A 25,688-nucleotide genomic window follows, 5' to 3' on the forward strand; every position below is an offset into this window, starting at 1 on the left:
TAATTATCCCCAATTTACAGGTAAAAAAAAAACTGAACTCAATGATTAACTGACTTGATCAAAGTCATTCAACCCATCAGAGGGGAGTGCTAAGAATTAAATCTGGGACCTCTGATCCTGGAACTTGTGTTTTATTGTCTCCGTATATTGCCTGGATTAACAGTTCTCAAATATTTGCTTTCAGGACTCCCAAAGAGCTTTGGTTTATAGCAATTAATATTTATCATATTAGAAATTTAAAATGATACATTTTAAAAATGTTTAATAATATGAATATAACAATAGACCCCATTACATCTTAACGTAGCATTTGTAATGGGAAAACCCCCATATTTTCCCAAACAAATTTAATGAGGATGGTGGCATTTATTTGCACTTGTAGAGTTCACTTTAATGCCAGACTTTGGGAGAAGACAGATGGATGTTCATATCTGCTTCTGCATTCACACTGTCACCATCTTAGGGAACCCCAGGGATCCCTAGACTATACTTTGAGAACCTCTAGGCTAAATGATTAGTTCTGTTGATCCAGAATGACACTCTTTAGCAGTAGTTCCCACACCTATTGTGGCGTCAGAATCTCTCTGAGAACTTTTTAAAAATAACATGTTCTGCCTCATTTTTGGATATTCTGCTTCAGTGAACCTTAGGAATAAGCGATGCATTTTTTCCCTAATATTTTATTTGGAAAATCTTGGAATATATAGAACTGACATAGTTTTAAGTGAAAATTAAAATTTTACTTAAGGCTGCGTATGGTGGCTCACACCTGTAATTCCAGTACTTTGGGAGGCTGAGGTGGGTGGATCACTTGAGGTCAGGAGTTCAAGATCAGCCTGGCCAACATGGTGAAACCCTGTCTCTACTAAAAATACAGAAATTAGCCGGACGTGGTGGTGGGTGCCTGTAATCTCAGCTACTTGGGAGGCTGAGGCAGGAGAATTGCTTGAATCAAGGAGGTGGAGGTTGTAGTGAGCTGAAATTGTGCCACTGCACTCCAGCCTGGGTAACAGAGCCAGATGCCGTCAAATAAATAAATAAATAAATAAAATAAAATAAAATAAAAAAATCCCTTAAAATTATTCACTTACAAAAATTATTTCACTTATAATCCCACTGCCTAGATTCTACCATTAACATTTCACTAATGTGCTTTAACATAGATTTAACCCATATGCATTCATTAGTCTATCTTACTTTATGAGGAAACAATAATTTTTCTTTGAAGATTCCAGATGATTCAGCAAATATAGATATACAGCAAAGTTTGAAAGCTACAGTTCTGAGGACCAGATTTATGGATTCCTTCTTATATGTTATCTGGGTTGATATAGAAATTCTTCCATGGCTACAGACTATATCCAAATCAAGTAACTGTCTGCTGATAAATGTATGGTAAGTCATAGCAGGAGCCAGGTGACAGTATGCCTGATGTATTCTGGCGTATGACTCTGGGAAAAGGAACATCTCAGAGCGTTTGTTCCTTTCACATTGGAGGACAAATGGTGTTATTTGTGGTAGTAGGTTTGAGCTCTGTCTGACTCCACTAGCTTTTTGAATAGGGTGACGTGAGGATTAAGTGAGACAGTGTATGTCTGGGGTCGGCAAATTTCTCCTGTATAGGGCCGGATAGTAAATCTTTTTGGTTTTGCAGCCCATATGGTCTCTGTTTGCAACTATGTAATTCTGCTGTTGTAGCCAAAAAAAATCCTTGACAATATGTAAACAAATGAATGTGGCAGTGTTCCAATAAAACTTTATTTACAAAAGTGGCATTGTGCTGGATTTAGCCTGTGGGCTCTAGTTTGCCAATTCCTCATATATGTCAAAGAATTTAGTAAACTGTAAGACAAAATTTAAATGCAAGCTGTTGACTATATTCATTTTAATATTTTACTTAGAAACACTTCTAAGTGTTTTACATTTAAAATATTTGTGCTTTAAATATTTCCTAATGTTGTGTGTGTGTGAACTCATTGATACCTAAACATTTTCTACAACTCTTTACAGCCTAATAACGTTACTATTTTTATTCTTTCTGCAAAATCAGGTGTCACTTAATCAGGTATTTGTTCATCTTGGTTGGAGGTGAGGGTCTTTTTAATTTGGCTAACTTGGGTGATTCCAGGCAGCCTGCAGTATGAGGAAACAGTTCTGAGCCTTGTTCCCTGCAGGTGTGCTGAGATCTGTACACTTTGGCAGGCCTGCTGGTGACTTGGGTTGATAAGTTGGGTCAAGGTGGAGGCATAAAGTATTAAATTGCTCTTGTAACTGTTTCACTACCACGGTTCATTACTAGTTTGTGCATTTTTTAAGCTATTGGAAAAAGAGCAAATCACATTCCATTTCGGGAAGTATCTTGATGGCATATAGGATGTTTGAATTGTTACTTCTGAAGATTTGGCTTCACGTGATTTTAAGTGGTTTATTTTGTTTCAGATTTTCTGCAAATAATGCATCTGGTTGTATTAAATATGTTATGTTCTTGCTAATATATTAATGTAGAATATTATGAAAGATTTCTGCCTCAGTATGCTTTATTATGTACCTTGACTATTAAAATACTAACATGATAGAAATTTAGAGCTAGACTTTACATACAATGAAATGTAAGTGATTTTCTCATTAAAACTGAGTATACTACATGTCCATGTAAAGGCTTGTCCCATGAAAGATGGATTTTATTTCAGTATATGAGCAATGTGAAGTTCTGTTTTAGCTTATCACATCTGTTTTTTCTTTACAGAAGCCTGTCTTCTTGTATTTGGTATGCTAGCTCTTTCATTTATACAACAGTTACTTGTTGATCATATATTATATGCGGAACTCTCCTAGGCGCTTGGTATTGTGTAGTGAACAAAGCAGACACAAATTCCTCCCTTAAGGATCTTGTATTCTAGTGAGTGAGACAGACATTAAGCAAAATAAATAATGTGTAGTATCTTGGAGAGTGGTAAGTGCTTAGTATAAAAACTAAAGTTGCAAAGGAGGATGGAAATGTTGAAGTGAGCAGTCAAAGATTGTGTGTCTAAGCAAAGTCTTGCAGAAAAGATGGATTTTCAGCAGTATCTAAGTAAGTGAGGAAATGGGTCATCTGGGAAAGAACATGCTTGTTACAGAGAACAGAAATTGCAAGATTTCTAAAACAAGAGGCCAGTGTGCTGGGAGAAAAGTGAAGGTGGGCAGAACAGCAGCACATGAGGGAGAAGCAGGGATCCCTCAGACTATGCAGTCTTGGGGGCCCTACAGGGTCTTTGACTTTTACTACGACGCAAGAGACTTTTGAACAGAGGAGAGCTGTGGTCTGATTTACATATTAACAGGACTATACTGGCAGCAGTTTTGAAATTTGATGAAGGGGAACCAGGTTGGAAATATGAATGTGAGAGTCATCAGCATGAAAAGGTATGTAAAGCCCTGAGATTGGCTGAGATTATCTAGGGAGTGAGTGTAAATAAGAAAAAACTAGACAGAGGTCCACGGACTGAGTCCTCGTAGTCTCCAGTCTTTAGAGGTCAGGGAGACAGGGAGGACCCAAGAATAGCTAGAAGTAAAGGGTAAAATCAGGAGTGTGGAGACCAGTGAAGAAAGTATTTCAGGGAAGAATGATCAACCGTATCAAATGCCACTGATAGATGAATATTCAAATAACTGTTTTGCTACAATTATTTTTAAAACAATCATTTCTTCTTCTTCTTCTTCTTCTTCTTCTTCTTCTTCTTCTTCTTCTTCTTCTTCTTCTTCTTCTTCTTCTTCCTCTTCTTCTTCTTCTTCTTCTTCCTCTTCTTCTTCCTCTTCTTCTTCCTCTTCTTCTTCTTCCTCTTCTTCTCCCTCTTCTCCCTCTTCTCCTTCTCCTCCTTCTCCTTCTTCTCCTTCTTCTCCTCCTTCTCCTCCTCCTCCTCCTCCTTCTCCTCCTCCTTCTCCTCCTCCTTCTCCTCCTCCTTCTCCTCCTCCTTCTCCTTCTTCTTCTTCTTCTTTTTTTTTTTTGAGGCAGGGTCTTTCTCTGTTGTCCAGGCTGGAGTGCAGCAGTGCTATCACAGCCCAGGACAGCCTTAACCTCCTGGGCTCAAGTCATAATCCTACCTCAGCCTCCCAAATAGCTGGGGCTATATAGGCGAGTACCATGATGCCCAGCCACTTTTTAAGTTCTTTTGTAGGGGTTGGTTCTCACTGTATTGCCCAGATTGGTCTTGAACTCCTGGGCTCAAGTGATCCTCCCGCTTTAGCCTCCCAAAGTGCTGGGATTACAGGCTTGAGGCACCACATCTGGCCAAGAGTCTTCATTTCTTAATGTCCAGATCCTAATACATTTTTAGGAGGGTAGAGGTGAATCGATTTTCTGTAATTAGCAGCTGACTTAACATGAAAGAAAAAGCTTATAATAATTCATCTTCTTCATATTCATTCTTCCCTAAGAGTATTCATTATTAATTTCCTCATTCATTCAGCAAACACTTGAGCCTGTTAAAATGCCAGTTGCTGTGCAGTATTAAAAAAAAAGATTAATTAGGCACAAGTTCTATCCTCAAGCTGCTTACAATTTAATAAGATGAAATTGTAATAAGGAAGATAAGGCAGGATTTAAGTGTAACGGGCAAGGTACAGTCTAAGTGTATTAGAATGCAGAGAAGTAGCTGAGGTTAGGCAAAAGGCAATGGGGAGATGTTGCTTATAGACTCATCTAATATTGGAGCAGGAAGTGTCCAGATTCCAAAGGCCAGTGGACTTGTAAGTGGCTTCACAGTTAATGCCATGGCAGCCTGGACTAAGAGCTCAGTGCTGGTGCCCTGATTGAGTGGGAGGTCCAGTAGGAAGTGTGAGTTTTATAGAGGGCGGAAGAGGAAGGCATTCCATTCTGTAAGGAGGCACAGGGCAGTGGGGAGACAGAAAAAGGCAATGCTGTAGATTTTAGAAATGGCACACAGAATTGTTAGAATATAGGGTTCATTCAGGAGAGTACAAAAGAGAGCTGGAAGGATCATTTAGAATGAGATTGAGAAGGGACGGAGGCCAAAATGAAAGTGTGGGCTTTACTCCCTAGGCTGGATAGTGAGTGGGGTATGTGTCCGGGGTGGGAGTCAGGGGAAGGGGGAGGCAGATGGTGCTAGGGGTGAAGGGGAACTGGTGCCACTAGGAAATGGGTGAAAAGAAATATGAGAAACATTCTATGCTATGTGATAAATTGAGAAAGTTATCATTCATTCCATATAAATTGTGGATTGTCCTCAAAGTTGAAATTTATAAAGTTTCATGAAGTTTTTTGTTAATATATTCTTTCACATTATTGCTTTTCTCAACTTGTTTTCTTGCTTATGACTTTTTTTGGATAATACATTTCCAGTTAAAGATTAATCGAAACTCATTTGACTCATTAAATAATTTGGACACAGTGATCCCATCAATGTTGAGAACATGATGTACATAATAATTGCTTTTTTAAAAATATACATTATATACTATAATTCTGAAAATACCAATGTGAAACTTCAAAGGAGCTGAAAAAATTCTGTGCCTCATGGTTGAATAAGTAGGCTAAGTACAAGGTTGTAGAGGCCAATTGTTAAAGAATGGGGCTAACGAGGGTCAAAAATCTTTACTGAAGTCACAGGAAAGGGTGCTCAAACAGTTGTTGCTAGGATACTCACAAGAATTTACCATTTCTGTGGCCAAAAAGGTTAGTTTGCCTGGTTTGTACATTAAAATCAGTGGTGACCAGCTAGTGCACTGTGGTTCTTCCTGCGTGAATGACAGGAAGCGGAAGTTGGCTGCCAACCATGTGTCTTTAGGCTGAAACCTGGCAGTGTGCCCCATTATATTACCTGTTGTGAGATGGGCTATTTTTGGTTTCAGTCACTTTGTCCAAAAGATATGGAATTCCAGGAATTCTGCTGAACACCTCTGAGATGGAATCCAAAACAATGGGCTTTTCATGGTACCCTAAAGGGTTGACATTTGGAGTGTGATTTGAACTTGTTTTCCGTGAGCCTGCAGTGTGGAGGTGCCTGGCTCCTATGGAAACTCTGGACCTGGGGAATGGGGGCTGGTGTTCTGAAACTGTCAGAACCAAGTCTGCTAATATCATACGCTGCCATCCGTTTATTTGGGAATGAAGTTTGTTAGTGTTTGGTTTTTAGTTCTCACTTTTGACTCTGTTTTTATTATTTAGAGCAGACTTTCTTTGACCTTTGCATCGCAAGGGCTGCCAGCCCTTACTTGGGGTCTGGGTGTGGATAAGGAGGCAAGGAAGTGTTTTGAGGCCTATTTTCATCAGTCGTTTCTCATGTCTGCCTGCCTGGAGGTTTGTAAGAATGAGGAGATAATGTGTATAAAAGTGCTTTGAGAAACAAAGTTTTATAGAACTGCAAGCCATTTTGATCATTAATTTGGGGTCTTTTGGTGATAGGAACAATTATTGTTTAAAGGTGAAATTAATGGTATTTCTAGAAGGAAAACATAATGCAGCTGATGAAAAAAAAAAGCTAATTAATTCCCCTGTATTTTGTTGTTGTTGTTGTTTCAGCTTTCTGTGGTTTCAGTATGTAGGGTTTAAAGGATTGGGGATCTAAATCTCTTTTTCTGTAGGTATTTATTTTTCTTTATATTCATAGGGAATAAGGACTGAGAAATAAATATACCTTTAACTGATGTGGATGGAACATTCAAAAATTAATCTCACAGAATGAGATTTCTGGTTGCTTTGCCCTCTTCTTATAACCAATAGCTTCTGAGCAGAACAGAAAAGGGCTGGGGATGAGCTCCAGCTCTGTGTTTCAGCCCTTTGATCTTGGATAACATTTCTAGGCTCTGAGCTGGAGATTATATTCCTGCCTGGTAGACTAGTGTCACAATCAAATGAAATATTAAATGTGTGGAAACAACTCTGCATAGCAGAGGGTTGGTAAATGGTGGGCAATATTCTTATTATTTGAATTGGTGATAAGTATCATTAACAAAAGATATTCCATTGAACATTGTGATGTACAAGGAACTATGTTAGGCGATATGGAGGATTCGCAGAATGCTATAAAATACATTTCCTGCGATTAAAGTAGCTTGTACATAGCTTTGTTAGAGAAGTCTTAGGTAAAAAGATAACTGACAAAATAATGTCATATGTGAGTAGCAAATGATAGGGAAGATAAAATCATTCACAATTTTGTGGAATGCTTAGGGGGTTTTTCTAAGGAAGCTGGTCCTTGAAAATTGGGACAGTATAGATGGATAGGAAGAATGAAAGGTTATTTCAAATGGAAGTGGGTCTCTGATTTCCTTCCTCCCTGCCTCTCTCACCCTCCTTTTCTCCATCCCTCCCCATGTAGTATAGCATTAAGAGTAAGAATGGTAGCATGTTGGCCTTACTGTTTAGCCACTGTGTAACCATGGACATATAGCCATCCTAAATCGGATTCTTCATATCTATAATGGAAATAAGAATAGAAGAGATGGTTCTTGCTCTCTAAATTTCAGTTACAAGATGACACGGGGAAAAAAGTTGTAACCCAACAGTATTTATTCAGTATCAATTACTTACCTAATAAGCCCCTACTCAAATAACCCTCCACATTTAAACCTAGTGTTGGTTTCCTCCAATTGGGTTCCCTCCAATTGCATTAGCTCCTATGACTGCCTGATATTATAAATGTTTGACAATGTAATACAATCAAAATGCACATCCATTGTGAAATCTCAAGCCTTGAAAAAGAGGCAGGATTTCCTGAAGTTCATGAAATTGATTTTGAAGGCTTGCTAAAAACACTTTCAAACCCATTAATAAAAGTGTGTGTGTGTGAAATTCTTATAGAGTAATTACCATGTCTCAGCCACTGTTCTGAGCACTTCACATGTATTCATTTACTCCTCCCTACAATCTTATGATGTAGGTACTATGGTAATTCACAAGACAAGCAAGGAAGCAGAAGCACATGGGATCCAAACCAGGCGGGTTGGCCCTAGACTGCATGCATTTCCTCACCACTCTACACTGCCTCTATTTAGATCAGTTAATAATTGACCAATGGCAGGAAATCAAAAGGGAGGAGAATGGGCACCTGAGTAGAGAGAGATTTCCAAAGGATAAATAAAGATTTTGTGAAAAATTAGTAAAAGCTGTCAACTAAATGAGTACATAGTGGTTAGGACCATAGGCTCTGGAGTCAGACTGCTTGAGCTTCACTGCTCCTTAGCTCTGTGACCCTGGACAAATTACTGAACATCTCTGTTCCTCAGTGTCTTTATGTATGAAGTGGAGATAATAGTATCTACCTATAGCATTGTCGTATGGGTTATGTAATTAAAATACCTACAACCTCACCTGACAGGTAGAATATACTCAGGAGTGTTAGTTTTTACTAAAACTAACATTTGAAAAAAATGACCCTCTTTATGATTATGTTCTGCAAACCAGATACCCTCTCCTCTTTCTATAGAAGGGATTAGCTAGAGGAGAGGGTGGCAGCCTCCAGCTGCATTAGAGCCTCGTGGACAACCTAGGGAACATTTCTGCATGGTTCTAGGCAGAGGCAGATCAGCCAAAGGGAGAGGAGCTGAAGGTGCTTGGAAGGGCCAGGTAGGAGGGTGCAGGTGAGGAGTGAATGAAATGCTCATGGATACGAAGAGTCAAAATCATGAAAATGGCCATACTGCCCAAGGTAATTTATAGATTCAATGCCATCCCCATCAAGCTACCAATGACTTTCTTCACAGAATTGGAGAAAACTACTTTAAAGTTCATATGGAACCAAAAAAGAGCTCACATTGCCAAGACAATCCTAAGCAAAAAGAACAAAACTGGAGGCATCACACTACCTCTCTTCAAACTATACTACAAGCCTACAGTAACCAAAACAGCATGGTACTGGTACCAAAACAGAGAGATAGACCAATGGAACAGAACAGAGGCCTCAGAAATAACACCACACATCTACAACCATCTGATCTTTGACAAATCTGACAAAAATGAGAAATGAGAAAAGGATTCCCTATTTAATAAATGGTGCTGGGAAAACTGGCTAGCCATATGTAGAAAGCTGAAACTGGATTCCTTCCTTACACCTTATACAAAAATCAATTCAAGATGGATTAAAGACTTAAATGTTAGACCTAAAACCATAAAAACCCTAGAAGAAAACCTAGGCAATACCATTCAGGACATAGGCATGGGCAAGGACTTCATAACCAAAACACCAAAAGCAATGGCAACAAAAGCCAAAATAGACAAATGGGATCTAATTAAACCAAAGAGCTTCTGCACAGCAAAAGAAACTACCATCAGAGTGAACAGACAACCTACAGAATGGGAGAAAATTTTTGCAATCTACCCATCTGACAAAGGGCTAATATCCAGAGTCTACAAAGAACTTAAACAAATTTACAAGAAAAAACCAAACAACCCCATCAAAAAGTGGGCAAAGGATATGAACAGACACTTCTCAAAAGAAGACATTTATGCAGCCAACAGACACATGAAAAAATGCTTATCACTACTGGTCATCAGAGAAATGCAAATCAAAACCACAGTGAGATACCATCTCACACCAGTTAGAAGGGCGACCATTAAAAAGTCAGGAAACAACAGATGCTGGAGAGAATGTGGAGAAATAGTAACGGTTTTACACTGTTGGTGGGAGTGTAAACTGGTTCAACCATTGTGGAAGACAGTGTGGCGATTCCTCAAGGATCTAGAACTAGAAATACCATTTGACCCAGCAATCCCATTTCTGGGTATATACCCAAAGGATTATAAATCATGCTACTATAAAGACAAATGCACACGTATCTTTATTGCAGTACTATTCACGATAGCAACAACTTGGAACCAACCCAAATGTCCATCAATGATAGAATGGATTAAGAAAGTGTGGTATATATACACCATGGAATACTATGCAGCCGTAAAAAAGGATGAGTTCATGTCCTTTGCAGGGACATGGATGAAGATGGATACCATCATTCTGAGCAAACTGTCACAAGGACAGAAAACCAAACACTGCATATTCTCACTCATAGGTGGGAATTGAACAATGAGAACATTTGGACACAGGGTGGGGAACATCACAAACGGGGGCCTGTCATGGGATGGGGGGCAGGGGGAGGGATAGCATTAGGAGAAATACCTAATGTAAATGACGAGTTAATGGGTGCAGCAAACCAACATGGCACATGTATACCTATGTATCAAACCTGCACCTTGTGCACATGTACCCTAGAACTCAAAGTATAATAATAATAATAATAATAATAATAATAATAATAAAAGCACATTTGTTGTAGTTGCAGAGCTACACAAGAGCTCAGGGACAGATGCTGGCATCAGCTTCACTCCCGGGAGTTCCCCCTGTGCATCCTCTACATTGGCAGGAGGCTGGCATTGAGAAAACCAGCAACTGGATGACCACTGTGTTTACTTTTTGCTACATTTTGAGCTCCAGTAAAGCAATTATATCTCCTACATTATCTTTATCAGTTAAAGAATCTATAAGCACTTTGCAAATTTAATGTAAGATAATGTTTGATAATAATCAGCTATGGTAATATATCATCTAATTTCAATATTCTCCACTTCAGTAGAAAACATTCTGTACTTAGGTCAGAAAATAATGTATTTTTTCATATCAGGTAAATTTTTACAGACTTCTGATCCTACTTGTGATATCTCAGGAAATGTTTCTTGCTCTTAGAAATCATTTACTTTCTCAGAAAGAGAACTACTCATAAAGAGCTCTAAGTTGTGTCTTAAAATAACTTGTAACTTCAGGCACAGATAACCCACTAAAGACTACAAAATCTGTGCTGTAAGTAAAATGGTAAAATGCAAGTTTATTCTTGTTTATTCTGCCAACTACAGTGAAGATTGTGTTTTACATGCCACAGAAAAATTGTGACAGAAAAATTAAAAGAATATGCAAATGTCTCACTTTTGATTTTTCTTTAGTTTTGCTACTTGAGAAGATAGAACATGATGACATCTGCAATAAAACTTTGAAGATTACAGATTTTGGGTTGGCGAGGGAATGGCACAGGACCACCAAAATGAGCACAGCAGGCACCTATGCCTGGATGGCCCCCGAAGTGATCAAGTCTTCCTTGTTTTCTAAGGGAAGCGACATCTGGAGGTGAGCCTTTCCTTTTGCAAACATCGGCAGAAACTGCTTGCTATGCTTTATTTCAGTAAGTCCCAAAGTATTCAGTAATTCTCAGCATAAATAGTCGAGGCCTTTTTGAATGAATTTTTATGGTTTTGATCAAAATAATTGTAATGACAACGGAACAGATAATTTGATGTTTGCATTGTCATATGACTCCATTTCAGAGGAGAACTTTCTAGTTAAATCACAAGTTTAGTTAAAACTGGTTATAATTTGAATTAACACTAAATTCCCAAGATTTTGTAGGATGCGCCAGTAAATTAAAGTGAATTTTCCGTGATGCAATCATGGCTCATTGTAGCCTCAACCTCCCAGGCTCAAGTGATCTTCCCTCCTCAGCTTCCTGAGTAGCTAGGACCACAGGTGTGCACTACCATGCCTGGCTAATTTGTGTGTGTGTGTGTAGAGGAGCGGGGGTTTAGGAGGGAGAGTGTCCACTATGTTTCCCAGGCTGGTCTTGAACTTCTAGACTCAAGTGATCCACCCACCTCAGCCTCTCAAAGTGCTGGGATTACAGGTGTGAGCCACTGCACCCAGCCTGAATTGACATTTTTAACAAACTTTTGATTCCTTGTGACTCACAGGCAATATTAGCATGGAAGGAATTTAAGAAAAAAATTTAGACCTATCCTTCATTTTATAGATTGCATCATCTAAAGATTAAAGTCTCCTATTTGAAGACTGGGAGCTGCACTCAAATGGATTACCAGGTTATTTTGACTTTCCATTCAGCTTTGTCTCATTAGAAGGATGCTAACAATTACAAAATAACAAAGAAAAATCACACTGTTTAATAGTTATGATGCACCTAGAACTTACTTGCCATTGTTTAGTGCTCATAAAATCCTGTTAATAAAGAAAATGTGGTGCACGTACACCATGGAATACTACACAGCCATGAAAAGAGTGGAATCACGTCCTTTGCAACATGGATGCAGCTGGAGGCCATTATCCTAAGTGAATTAATGCAGGAATAGAAAACCGAATATCACATGTTCTCACTTATAAGTAGGAGCTTAACATTGGGTACTCAGGGATATAACGATGGCAACAGTAGACGCTGGGGACTAAGAGAAGGTGGAGGGAAGGAGCGGGGAAAGGGCTGAAAAAGTAACTCTTGGATACTATGCTCAGTACCTGGGTGACAGGACCATTTGTATCCCAAACCTCAACATCACACGACATACCCAGGTAATACACCTGCATGTGTACTCCGTGAATCTGAAATAAAAGTTGAGAAAGAATTTAAAAAAGGATAGATGTAAAAAAACAAAATAAAATCCTGCGTTAATCATTAAAGTTCCATTTTTTTCTGTTTTTAACAGCTTCGTTGAGATATGATTCACATACCACGAAACTGATGCATTTAAATTGTACAGTTTGATGGCATTTTGTATATTAGTAAGTTGTGTGTCCATCATCCCAGTTGATTGTAGAACATTTTCTTTCATGCAGAAAGAAAACCTGTCACCCCTTACCTATTGTCCCCAACTCCCCCTTCCCTCTCAGCCCTAGGCAACCACTCATTTATGTTCTGTATCTTGACTTTTGTTTATTCTGAACATTTTATGTCAGTGGAATCTTAGAATATTCCTTTGTGACTGGCTTCTTTCACTGAGCCTAATGATTTGAGGTTCATCTATGTCAGAGCATGGATCAATACCTCCTTCATTTTTATGGCTTAATCATAGAGTATTACTGTACCACATCTTGTTTACCCATTTATCTCTGGATGGACATTTGGGTTGTTTCCAATTTTTGGCGACTGCAAATAGAACTGATAACAAACATTCCTGAACACATTTTTGTGAGAACGTGTGTTTTCAGTTTCCTTGACTATATATCTAGGAGTAGTAGTGAGATTGCTTGGCCATATGGTAATTCTGTGTTTAATTCTTTGAAGAAGCATTAGACCATTTTCCAAAGTGGCTGCACCTTCTTTTTTTTTATTCCCACCAGTAGAGTGTCAGGGTTCCGATTTCTCTCCATCTTCCTTGTCACTTGTCATCTGACCTTTTGATTCGGGCCGTCCTTGTAGGTGTAAAGTGGTATCTCATGGTTAAAATTACAATTTTAGGATTTTGTTATTACTTTTTTTTCCCTTTTTTTACATAAAAGAAAACTGGGAATGAGAGAGAGAAATACTTGCTAAGAGTCCAGTACTTGTAAGTGCCGGAACCTTTTAAGAACCCAGGTCTGCCTGGCTCTCAGATTCATGCTCCACAAAAATTGTTTTTCCTTTTAAATCTTTGGAAACACTAGAAGTTAGTCCCTCAAATTCACAGCTGAAGTCAGTGGCAGAGACCCCTGTCAGTAAAAGTTCCATAAAACTGCCTTCCATTTAAAGCTTATCTTCTGCATTTAAAATTATGATTTAATTGTTCTACTTAAAGCTTCTAAGAAATTTATCAGTTGGATCAGGGTTCTATAGTGTCTTAGGGCCAGTCTGAAAAATACAAGTGCTTGAGCCTCACCCCTTGATGAATTAGACTGTCTACTGGTGAAGGCTGAGCGTGTGTGTTTTTATAAACCGTTAAATGTGTTTTCATTGAGTTAATGACTAATTTTAGTAATTTAGTAATTTAATTTAGTAATTTTCTAACCATATGAAAATATCAAATTACATAAGTGACATTGGCTATCTTTTTAAGATATTATACTTCAAGACTCTAAAAACTATTAAAATACATCGTAAATCAATTACATTCAAAATAATGTATCTTAAGACTATGAGATCTTATTACAAACTATGCTTTTATTAGAAACTATGTAATTACCAGGTATACGAATGCTGTGCGGTCATGCTCTATAGCAACCTTGTCTATCATAAACAGGGGAGAATCAAGAAGTAAGCAGAAGAGAAAAAAAGGAAAAGAAAGTTGCTAAAACCAACCAAAATATGGGCCTTTAAGCCCCACACATTCTCTAGAGAAGTCACCTCTCAAAATTGATTTATTTACAAAGTGCGATGATCTGATTTTCATTAAAAGCAGAAGATACCAGCCGGGCATGGTGGCTCATGCCTGTAATCCCAACACTTTGGGAGGCCGAGGTGGGCAGATCACAAGGTCGAGAGATCGAGACCATCCTGGTCAACATGGTGAAACCCCGTCTCTACTAAAAATACAAAAATTAGCTGGGTGTGGTGGTGCACGCCTGTAGTCCCAGCTACTTGGGAGGCTGAGGCTGGAGAATCACTTGAACCCTGGAGGCAGAGGTTGCAGGGAGCCGAGATCATGTCACTGCACTCCAGCCTGATGACAGAGCAAGACTCTGTCTCAAAAAAGAAAAAAAAAAAGGCGAAAGATGAAATACAGAAATGGTCCTCTGTATTTAATATGTTTTTCTTTCCATTACCTACTTTTCACCTGAGGTTTTTTCCCGTTACTAGCTTGGCATCCCTCTCCCCTCTTCTAATTAGCTCAAGTCCCTGATATAAAAAGGCATAGTGTTTGCATATAGCCTGTGCACATCCTCCCGTGTACTTTAAAGCATCTCTAGATTACTTATTATTACCTAATACAATGTGAATGTGGTGTAAATGGCTGTCGTTCTGTATTGTTTCGAAAGTTGTATTGTTATTTTTTGTTGTTTTTTTTTCTGAATATTTTCCACACGTGATTGCTTGAATCTGCAGATGTGGAGAGCTGACTGTATTATTAAAAAAACTGAGAAACTACCGATCCCTGGCGCTGCTTAGTTGTAGGGTCAAACATTTCTGCATATCTCCGGAACCCATTCATATACAAAAGCACATTGTAGGATATCCGGATGGGCAAAAGCAGGGCAGGTCATCTCTTTGAATTATAGATACCATTGCTGTAAAGTCTCTTTCGATGATATTTCCATAAAAAAAAGTTTCATTCAAAAAGCATGGCTTTACCTATGCAGTGCTAGGGATTGGTGATTTTATATTTCTTGATTTTCTTCTCTTCTCCTCCCTTCCTTCTAACAGTTACTGTACTACAGAGTAATTGTCTTATGCACTTAGATATTGTTATCTAATTTTTACAGCTCTTATTATCCTGGTTTTGCAGGTTAAGTAGCCGAGGCACAGAGAAGTTAAGAAATTTGCTTAGAGTTGTAAAACTACTAAGAAGCAGATTTTAGGTCCAGGGCTGAGATCCATGACTCCCGACTCACAGCCCTGAGTCATTACAATTCTGAGTTCTCAGGAGAGCGTTTCATTATACTATCTTCTACCTGGTTTAAGAGAACAGAAAAATGTGTACTATACTTTAGAAGTAGTTCCATTGAAAAAGTTACATTTCTTTTCACATTGGTTTTTCATGGGATAAGCCCTCCTCTCTCTGGAAAGATGATCCATCCTAGATTATTCATTTCCTGAAACTTGCAAGAAGCAGAGTTATATTGCTATTTTTTTAAGTTTTGTTATTTGTTAATAGGAATTTCTTTGAATTTAGACAATTTTAGTTATTCTATGTAAGTTTTTTTTGTTTTTGTTGAATGATCTATGAGTTAAGTTTACTTATTTTTGAAATTATGAAGATGTCTCCTATAATTAACTATAATATAGATGATTTTTAAGAAAATTATCAAAAGGAAACACATAAGCTTTGGAAAATAATGATTTTAACTTTAGCTAATAGTTACAGCATTGTATAATTTACAAGTAGTACATTAAATATATTATATATTTCCTTTTTGAGATAAAACAATGTTTTGAGATGGTAGAGTGGATCTCACTATTATTTGATAGAAGAGTTCACTGAAGATCAGCTTTAAGGGCCTTGTTAGTGGAGAAATAGCTTGTGAGCAGTAATACCAGCACTTTTGGAGGCCAAGGTAGGTGGATCACAAGGTCAGGAGTTGGACACCAGCATGGCCAATATGGTGAAACCCCGTGTCTACTAAAAATACAAAAATTAGTTGGGTGTGGTGGCGGGTGCCTGTAGTCCCAGCTACTACTCAGGAGGCTGAGGCAGGAGAATCACTTGAACCCAGGAGGTGGCGGAGGTTGCAGTGAGCTGAGATCGCGCCATTGCACTCCAGCCTGGGAGACAGAGCGAGATTCCATCTCAAAAAAAAAAAAAAAAGGTTATGTATAACCAACACTTAAGAAATAATTCAGTGGCTTCTACATTTCACATTTTAAAAAAAGTTAAAGCTAATGAGGTTTTAAAAGATTAGGAAAGTGAATAGAGCTTCACTAGTTATATTAGTAGAATTTAAAAGGAAACCAAATATGACTGTTCCTTTTAATTAATTTTTATTTTATTTATTTAGTTTTGAAACAGGGTCTTGCTCTGCCACCCATGCTGGACTGTGGTGGTGCAATCACAGCGCACTGCAGCCTCATCCACACGGGCCCAAGTGATTTTCCCACCTCAGCCTTCTGAGTAGCTGGGACTATAAGCACCTGCCACTATGGCCAGCTAATTTTTGTATTTTTTTAGAGACGAGTTTTACCATATTGCCCAGGCTGGTCTTGCACTCCTGGGCTCAAGCATTCTGCCCACTTCACCTTCCCCAAATGCTAGAATTACAGGCGTGAACTGCCATGCCCAGCTATTTTTATTTTTTAATTGAAATAATTGTACATATTTATGGGGTACATAGTGATGTTCCAATACATACAATGTGTGGTGATCGGATCAGGGTAATTAGCATATCCTTCATCTCAAACATTTATCATTTGTTTGTGTTGGGAACATCCTCTCTTCTAGCTATCTGAAACTATATGATATATTATTGCTAACTGTAGCCATCCTACAGTGCGTTAAAACAGGGGTACTTATTCCTATTATCTGGCTGTAATTTTGTGTCTTTTTTTTTTTTGAGTCTTGCTCTGTCACCCAGGCTGGAGTGCAGTGGCGTGATCTCGGCTCAGTGCAACCTCTGCCTCTGAGGTTCAAGTGATTCTCCTGCCTCAACTTCCCGAGTTGTTGGGGCTGCAGGCACGCACCACCATGCCCGGGTCATTTTTGTATTTTTAGTAGAAACAGGGTTTCACCATGCTGGCCAAGCTGGTCTTGTACTTCTGACCTCAGGTGATCCACCCACCTCAGCCTCCCAAGGTGCTGGGATTACAGGTGTGAGCCACTGTACCTGGCAATTTTGTGTCTTTTGACAAGACAGTGTTACTTATATGCTTATGTGTTTCAATCTGAAGTCAAGTGAATCATCTGGAGTGACTCTCATTCTTTAAATTTACTTAACAAAAGATATCTGCGTGTACTTTATGTTTTGAAGAAGAATAAGAGAAAACTAAGGTACTGACTTGGATAGCAGAAGAGAATAAATATATACAATGCAGAAGACTCGTGCCTATGTCCCTGTGTACTAAATTGAATTTGGGCTATCAGTCTGTGGTATGGATGTGGTATGGATATGTAGTGAAATTCGGCTCTTCATGGTAAACATTCATGTAGAAATCCTCTTCTGTGCCTTTGCTTGTTCTTGTTTGTGGCTGTATCTGCATCACATGTGATGATGCTTTGGAGAACTCAGGGACTGCAGTTGTGCCTTATTTTTTATTCCCATTTCACCCTGGCTTCCTCCATTACAAAAAAGAGACGTATGTCCTGCCAGCAGGTGTAAGGGGGCCCACACTGATGTCTTTCTGTTCTTTACTGTTCAGCAATATGGTAGAAACATTAGTAACACATCTAAATATAGAGAGGCAGGAAGATAAACAGTTTCAAAAAACTATTTAAAAATAGTTAATCAACATGATTCCATGTCAGCCCTGTGGCATGCACCATGAGATCTCTGTGGGGCTGTGCTCTTTGGTGTCCTAATAATCCTCAAGAGGTTTTATTTAAGTGTGGGAAAAATGAGATAGAAAGAGAAACAGAAAACAGCCACATTACTCCTAAAGTGTGACCTGGTTCTGGACCCTGTTTAATTCAATTGTGTACTACTCTTACGCTTTCCTATTCATGAAGTAGTTTTAATTCCTAGAATGAATGCATACTGGATTTCTGGGATGGAATGTATTTACATGTGTTTGAATTGTTGATGGGAAGAATCCACCTCCCACCTTGGGATGTCAGCCATTTAGGGGCTTTTCTGGAATAGAGTGTCCTATTAGGAATGGATGAAGGTACTGAAGGGTTTATCTCACTAAGTGTGTCATAAGGAAAAGACACTGTTTAGCCCATTGAGCATATGAAATCCTTGCTTTCTAGCTATGGAGTGCTGCTGTGGGAACTGCTCACCGGAGAAGTCCCCTATCGGGGCATTGATGGCCTCGCCGTGGCTTATGGGGTAGCAGTCAATAAACTCACTTTGCCCATTCCATCCACCTGCCCTGAGCCGTTTGCCAAGCTCATGAAAGGTATTGTGTGTGTGTGTGTGTGTCTTTGTGGGGGCAAGAATTTCTCATTAGAATATCATTTTTTAAAAAACAGAAAAAGCATTTTCTGTGACTCTAATTTCCAAGTACTTTTAAGTAACCCTAGTATTTTAAGAATTGGAAACCTAGTCTTTGATCTGGAATGTCTGGTAAAGTTTTGAAGAACTAAGTAGCTTACCTACAATCCAGTTTTATCAGTGACTTATTTATGTATAAAACTCAACTGAAAAGTAGTAACATTTTCACTAGGTACATGAGTAGAGTTCAAATACAGTATTGAATTGGCTCCAAATCTGCTATTTTAAATTTGAATTAGTGATCAGAAATGCCTTATGGTCTTAACAGGTGTGATTTTGCCAGGATCATGTCTATTTTATCCTTATCTTTAAAAATTGTTAACTAACTCTTTTTGTAAGCCGCAAGTTGCCTTCCTTCATTGTTAGGCTATTTTTGATTTTTAGAACTTCTCATGTGGATATAACATTTTAGAGGCTTTGTTTGAGTTACATGACTCCATATCAGTAAATGATCTGGTTATGGTGGCTTAACCCCCTGAAACATGGTATCCATAGTAAAGCATGGGAAGCACACGTCCATTTATTAAATGCGGTATAATATAGACAGCAACAGCCTTCTCTAATGGTCATTATTATGCATGCCTGTGACATGGACACTATGTAAAATAAACTATTCAAACTATTACCAATGGATTCTTAAAATCTTCAGGAGCAGATACTATAAATGGAAGCTTCCAGTTTGGAATGACAAATGTTAAGTTGAAATACACTTCAGTGTAAAACATTTCTTAGCAACTCTAAACTGCGTTGAGAGATGGTATTAATGTGATTTTTGTTTATTTTAGAATGCTGGCAACAAGACCCTCATATTCGTCCATCGTTTGCCTTAATTCTCGAACAGTTGACTGCTATTGAAGGGGCAGTGATGACTGAGATGCCTCAAGAATCTTTTCATTCCATGCAAGATGACTGGAAACTAGAAATTCAACAAATGTTTGATGAGTTGAGAACAAAGGAAAAGGTGAGAGAAATTTTTAAACAGCATAATGTACTCAAATTTATGAAAACTATGGAAAATATGAGGCAAGAAGCACTGTTAGCATTATTCAAAAATATCTTTAGATATCAATATTTGTTGATTCTCACCTTCTTTCAGGTTAAAAATAAAACAAAAATAAAACAGAAGGGTACTCAATATGTATAATTGGGGAAAATACCCTTTTATTAGAGGAATTTTCAAAGTAAAAAAGAGAGAGAGAGCAAATAGCATAATGGACACTTTGTATGCATTAATCAGCTTCATTTATTGTCATTATTTTATCATTTTATTTGTCTCCCTTCCCCATTATCTCTTGGCATGCTGGCATAGAAATTAATACAAAGTATGTCATAGGCATTCCCTGAAATACAGAATGTTTTCTTAAAAATGCGATTTAAGAACGTGTCTGTTGGAGATTGTTTTGAGTTTCAGTGTTATGCCATTTTTCTTACTACATGCTGGGACAGTGCCAGAGTCCTAGAACTCAGAGATGGATGTGGTGTTTGTACCCTTGAATGATTCTTTGAATGCCAGGCTAGTGATTTGGACCTTGTTGACAAGTTTTTAAAAGGGGCTGCATATAATCTCTTGAAGCCAGACATTGAAGCAGAAGCTCCCCCGACTCCCGCTGTGCCTTCCCTCCTTCTTTCCCTTATTTGTGGTAATGGGATCACTGTTCTCCCAGGTACCCAGTCTCAAGGGTCTTTTTGCAGTGTTCCTGTGGTCTTCTGTGTGACAAAGACCATCAGTGGCAATTTTCTGCCCTAATCCCTGCCAACCTCACTCATCACCAGCATGGCTGCTGGACCATCCTTACTGGGCACTCTCTGTGCAGCCTTTCTTCCCTCATCTGTCCCCTTCTCCTTCTAAAATGCAAATCTGATCAGCCTTGTTTCCATTGCCCACTTTTTTGCCATGTTCACTCCCTTTCTCCTCACATATTTTGCCTTACATCTCCACCGCCCCTGTCCCCAGCCATACTGAATTTCTTCCAGTCCCCATGATGTCATGCTCCTGACCTGTAACCTTGGCACACGTTCTTTCCTCTGCTGAGGATCCTGTTTCCTCCCTAGCTTCTGTGCCCATTTCATGAATGGTGGCCCCTCCGTTCTCAGTCCCTGATAGCTCCCTCCCCTACTCTACTCCATCGGGTAAACTGTGGGTGATCAGAGTGTCTTGTGCTTCTCTTATCATGGCATAAGTCATACTGTATTAATACTTGCTGACGTAATTGTTCTTGATCTGTCCTTTCTGCTAGATAATAAGTTCATGAACTATGCTTTTACATTCTTCTTCATTTGCATACACAGCATTGAACATGGGACTCAGCACATGGCAGGCATTAATGAACCTAAGTACAGTTTGTTAATATATGCCTGATGTCTATTTTAATAATTGAGATAGTGGCCATTATCATTATTATTACTGTTTTAATGAGCAATTATTATTATTATTATTATTGAAAGTGAACAATGAATTTTATAGTATATACATATTATGATTCCTGTTATGAATCTTACGCTGTAATAGAGGCATATGACTCAGCTGTTCCACTTCCGCTTACAGATTCTTCAGAAACTCACACATGTGCCCAAGGAAACGTGCTTAAAGTTGTTCACTTAGGCATCATTTGTAATAGTGCAAAGCTTAAAACAACCTGAATATCCATTAACAGGGGAACAGATGCCTAACCTATTGTATTCTTACGCAATGCAAAAATGTATAGTTCAGTAAGTCCTCACTCAATGTTGTGGATAGGCTCTTGGAAACTGACTATAAATGAAATGATGTATAATGAAACCAATTTTACTATAGGCTGATTGATAGAAACAGTTAAGTTCCCACGACATATTTCTGGTTGCAAACACATCTCCAAACTTTGAAATAAAGACCAAAGCCCTTCTAATATTAAACATTGAAACAAATGTGAGCTATACGTAACATTTAAGAAAGACTAATGTCCGGGTGTGGTGGCTCACGCCTGTAATCCCAGTGCTTTGGGAGGTCGGGGCAGGTGGATCACCTGAGGTCAGGAGTTTGAGACCAGCCTTCTTCTAATCAACTTCTTCTAAAGACATTTTTTAAAGTAGACATAACCATCATTCTCAGCAAACTATTGCAAGGACAAAAAACCAAACACTGCATGTTCTCACTCATAGGTGGGAATTGAACAATGAGAACGCTTGGACACAGGAAGGGGAACATTACACACCAGGGTGTGTCATGGAGTCAGGAGAGGAGGGAGGGATAGCATTAGGAGATATACCTAATGTAAATGATGAGTTAATGGGTGCAGCACACCAACAGGGCGCATGTATACATATGTAAGAAACCTGCACGTTGTGCACATGTACCCTAGAACTTAAAGTATAATTAAAAAAAAAAGAAAAAATAAAAATAAAAATAAAAAAATAAAGTAGACATACAGGTAATTCACTCTGTCCCTTAGATTTTTCAGTATTTGGTTACATTGAAAAATGCACAACAGGTAAATGCAACGTAAGACCATGACACCACTAATGAGTACTTAGAGTTCATCAAGGAGAGGCACCAATCCCACCTGCCCTGTTCTGCTCAAACCCATGGAGTTGCGTCTGACTGCGAGCATCATGTCCTAAGGAGCCTCCTGGCATGCATGGGAGAGGATGGGGGAGCCTGGGAGTCCAAGAACAGGAAGAACACACAGCACACAAGGGGGTGGGGACTGCTGGGGCTGCCCATGCATGGGGAGGACTTTCAAGTAGGGAGAGAAGAAACCAGTTGCTTGTTATTCCAGAGTTACGCAGTAGGACTTCTGGGTGAATGCTGCAGGGATGGCAATCTGGTCTCCAAGTCAACGACTTGCTAGCACTTGGAGCTGGCTGACAGAGAAATAGACTGCTTGGGTGACTGCCTGTTTCCTTCTCCAGGACAAGACTGAATGGGAAGTCTTTATGGGATTCTGAAAAATATGATAGACCTCCCTCACCCCCCACCAGGAACTCTGAGTCAGACAGCCCTGTTGGCATTCGGGCTCTTGTGCCTGATGGGTTTTTTTTTTTTTTATACTTTAAGTTCTAGGTGTGCCTGATGGTTTTGAGGCCTCTGACTCTGTTACTCTGTACCTCCTCATCATTGGAGCCATCACTGTAACCCTGTGTCCCTCAGGGCTTGGGCGGGGCTTAAGTGAGTCCTGTATGCAAAGCAGCCAGAGCCCTACCTCTTAGTATGTGCTAAATTAAGTGTTAGTCTCAGGAAAAAAAAAGAAAGTGGTGACCTTTCACAGAAGCTGAGTTTCCCTAGCCCAGGCTTTCTTGGAAAACTGGCTGGAGCACCACTGACTGGAATAGGTTTGACATCCTGCAGTTCTGTGAAGCATTACTACCAGTGATATCATTGACATGTTTCTTGGAAACTTTTATGCACTTTGTTGACTTAAAATGATACAGGAAAGACTCTAATTTGTTTTTTTTTTTTTTAACACTTCCCCAAATTGTTTTCAGGAATTCTAAAATTAGGTGTTTAATTACAAAAATGAAAAAGATTTTGAAGAGCAGGAAAAGCGTTTGAGAAAGAAATAAAGCTTCAAATCATAGAATCTAAAATTTGGAAATGATGTTACTCACAATTAGTTACTGGCTGGGTGTGATGGCTTGCAGCTGTAGTCCCAGCACTTTGTTGGGGGCCGAGGTGAGAGGATTGCTTGAGCCTGGTAAGTTGAGGCTGCAGTGAGCTATGACTAAACTGCTGCACTCCAGCCTGGGCGACAGAGCAAGACCCTGTCTCAAAAAAAAAAATTATTATTATTGTTATTATCTGGAGACAGAGTCTCACTCTGTTACCCAGGTTGCAGTGCAGTGGTGTGGTCTCGGCTCACTGCAACCTCCACCTCCCGAGTTCAAGTGATTCTCCTGCCTCAGCCTCCCGAGTAGCTGGGATTACAGGCGCCCACCACCACACCCGGCTAATTTTTTTTGTATTTTTAGTAGAGACGGGGTTTCACCATGTTGGCCAGGCTGGTCTCAAACTCCAGATCTCAGGTGATCCTCCCACACTGGCCTCCCAAAATGCTGGGATTACAGGCATGAGCCACCAGGCCCGGCCTTATTTTAACGTATTTTAATTATTGACAACTATTTATAAAACTGGAAGATATAGGCATCTCTAGTGAGTTCATAATTATATGTTGTATTAAAATAAAAGCATGCTTCAAGGGTGGATGTCAGCTCTTTCTCTACTTTGCGATTTGTAGTAATTTATTTTTTGGTTGATTTTTGAGCTACCATGTAGTAGTGTCTATTTTTACTTTGTGTTTTATTTTTGTGCATTGTTCCTTGAAATACAGCATTTATGTTACCCTGTAAGCCTTTGGATTTACAATTAAAGAATATATAATGCTTTTTTTTGGCTTCGAAGTTTCCAGCTGCATCTTTTTTGATGAAGTAAAAAGCATAGTGTACGTGCCCTATCTCCCTTTCTTGTCCACAGATTGCTTAAGGTAGGAGGCATCAGACTTGGAATTAATGGTGAGTAACTTGGCTGTGGTCTGTGTTATTCAGTAAGCCGTAGCCTCCGTAGATACTGGGTCCTCCCTAAACTCCTGGCTCCTTATCTCTGTGTGTCTGTATTTGTGCATTTTGTGCATGCACCTGTCTGTGACCCCCCACACAGAGGCATGCCACCGTTAATGATTAACAGCCACTGCCAGGGATCTGGATTTGCCATTACCAGAGTGGCCTGTGCCAAGCAATTCAACAAATATTACTGCTAGTAATCTCATCAACCGAAAGAATGTTTTTGTGCTTCATACTTTTGAAGTATTCAAAGGGTTCTAATACCCCAGTTTTAAAATTTACTTTTGAATGTGTTCAAATTTATTCAGAAGGAAGATTACTTTTGCTGCTTTCTCTTCAATCTTATTTTTTTCTTTTCTGAAGTCTTAGGCAAGTGATTTTTTGTTTATTATTCACAAATTTGTTCACAGGGATTCATGATTTAGCTTGGGACCTGGAATTAAAAATGTTTTTTTATTCAATTACTATCGTAGCAACACACAACCTACTTGGATTTGCTGTTCTGATCGCTTTCTCATGCCATCTCATTTAACAATAGCTAATTGGATTGATATCAACATCACTGAAAAGTAATATCTTAACAAAAAGTTTTAATGAGTTAGAAATTGAAAGGTGACTGGAAATTATCCTCTGCCTCCAAATACACTATAGTAAAATGTCCAATTTGGACAAACTAGTTGAACAAAAGTCACTAGTTAAAAAATGGATTACAGATTTTTTAACATGTAACATTTTCCCCTTTTTTTCAAGTAGTAAATAATAATTTATATCTGACACGGTGTAATGAAGAAACACCCACCTGGTCTATAAATAAAAACCAACTGATAGGCATATTAGCTGAAGTGATTTAAACATCATTTGGTCTAAAATAAATCATTTCTCCTGCAGTTTTTCTTGTGAAATTTGTTTCAAGAAATAAATTTAAAGAAAGTTTCAAAACTGAATTTCAGTCCACTTTGGTTAGAATCACCCCAAATTCGTAATCAGTTTGACCTGAATAAATACATTTCTTTATTATTAGCTCTCCCTAGTCTCTTCGTGATATTGTCCCATTTATTTGTGGGAGGATGGTCTTCCTGTTTATTTTCTTTACGATAATTGTACTGATAGGCTCAGATTACTCTTTGAGTCCGTCTGTAAAAAGTCCAAGTATTAGTAGATTTGAATTGCATTCTAGTCCCTTGGTTTGGGTCTAGTTTCTTCCAGGAGCCCTAATCTTACTGTGTTTTTTCATGGATCAGAATCGTTGAGGTGGGCCTATTTAAAGTGTGGCCTGTTTATATAAAGTAGGAAATGTTTGCACAGTACTCATAGCTCTCAAAGCTCAGAGCCCAACACTCCACCTGAGAAGGCATCTGCAGTTTCCAACAAAGATTGTGGTATTAGGGTATTCTAAGATTAAGTTTATCTGGAACAGTGTAAATAAAAGCTTGCAGATGCGTTGATTTTTATGTGAGTGCTTGATTTCTTAGCAGAGTAATTTAGAATAGAAACTGGTTCAGCACTGCAAAGAATATTTATGTCTCTGGTAAAGAACAGAACACTTTATGGAAATGAAATAAAAATGGGGATATAATTTTAAAACTTTGTAGAGTCCTCAGTTTTACTGTTTAATAA

At 38.7% G+C, this 25,688-nt stretch overlaps 1 protein-coding gene across 1 annotated transcript in view; it reads left to right on the forward strand.

Annotated features, from left to right (window-relative positions):
* Positions 1-25,688, forward strand: part of MAP3K21 (mitogen-activated protein kinase kinase kinase 21) — a 57,425-nt gene that overhangs the window by 7,788 nt on the left and 23,949 nt on the right. The window contains exons 2-4 of the mRNA NM_032435.3: positions 10,931-11,111; positions 18,296-18,444; positions 19,325-19,500. Of these exons, the coding sequence (NP_115811.2) occupies positions 10,931-11,111; positions 18,296-18,444; positions 19,325-19,500 (506 nt within the window). The remainder of the gene's footprint in view (positions 1-10,930; positions 11,112-18,295; positions 18,445-19,324; positions 19,501-25,688) is intronic.

Source organism: Homo sapiens, chromosome 1 (assembly GCF_000001405.40).
Source record: "Homo sapiens chromosome 1, GRCh38.p14 Primary Assembly".
NCBI lineage: Eukaryota > Metazoa > Chordata > Mammalia > Primates > Hominidae > Homo > Homo sapiens.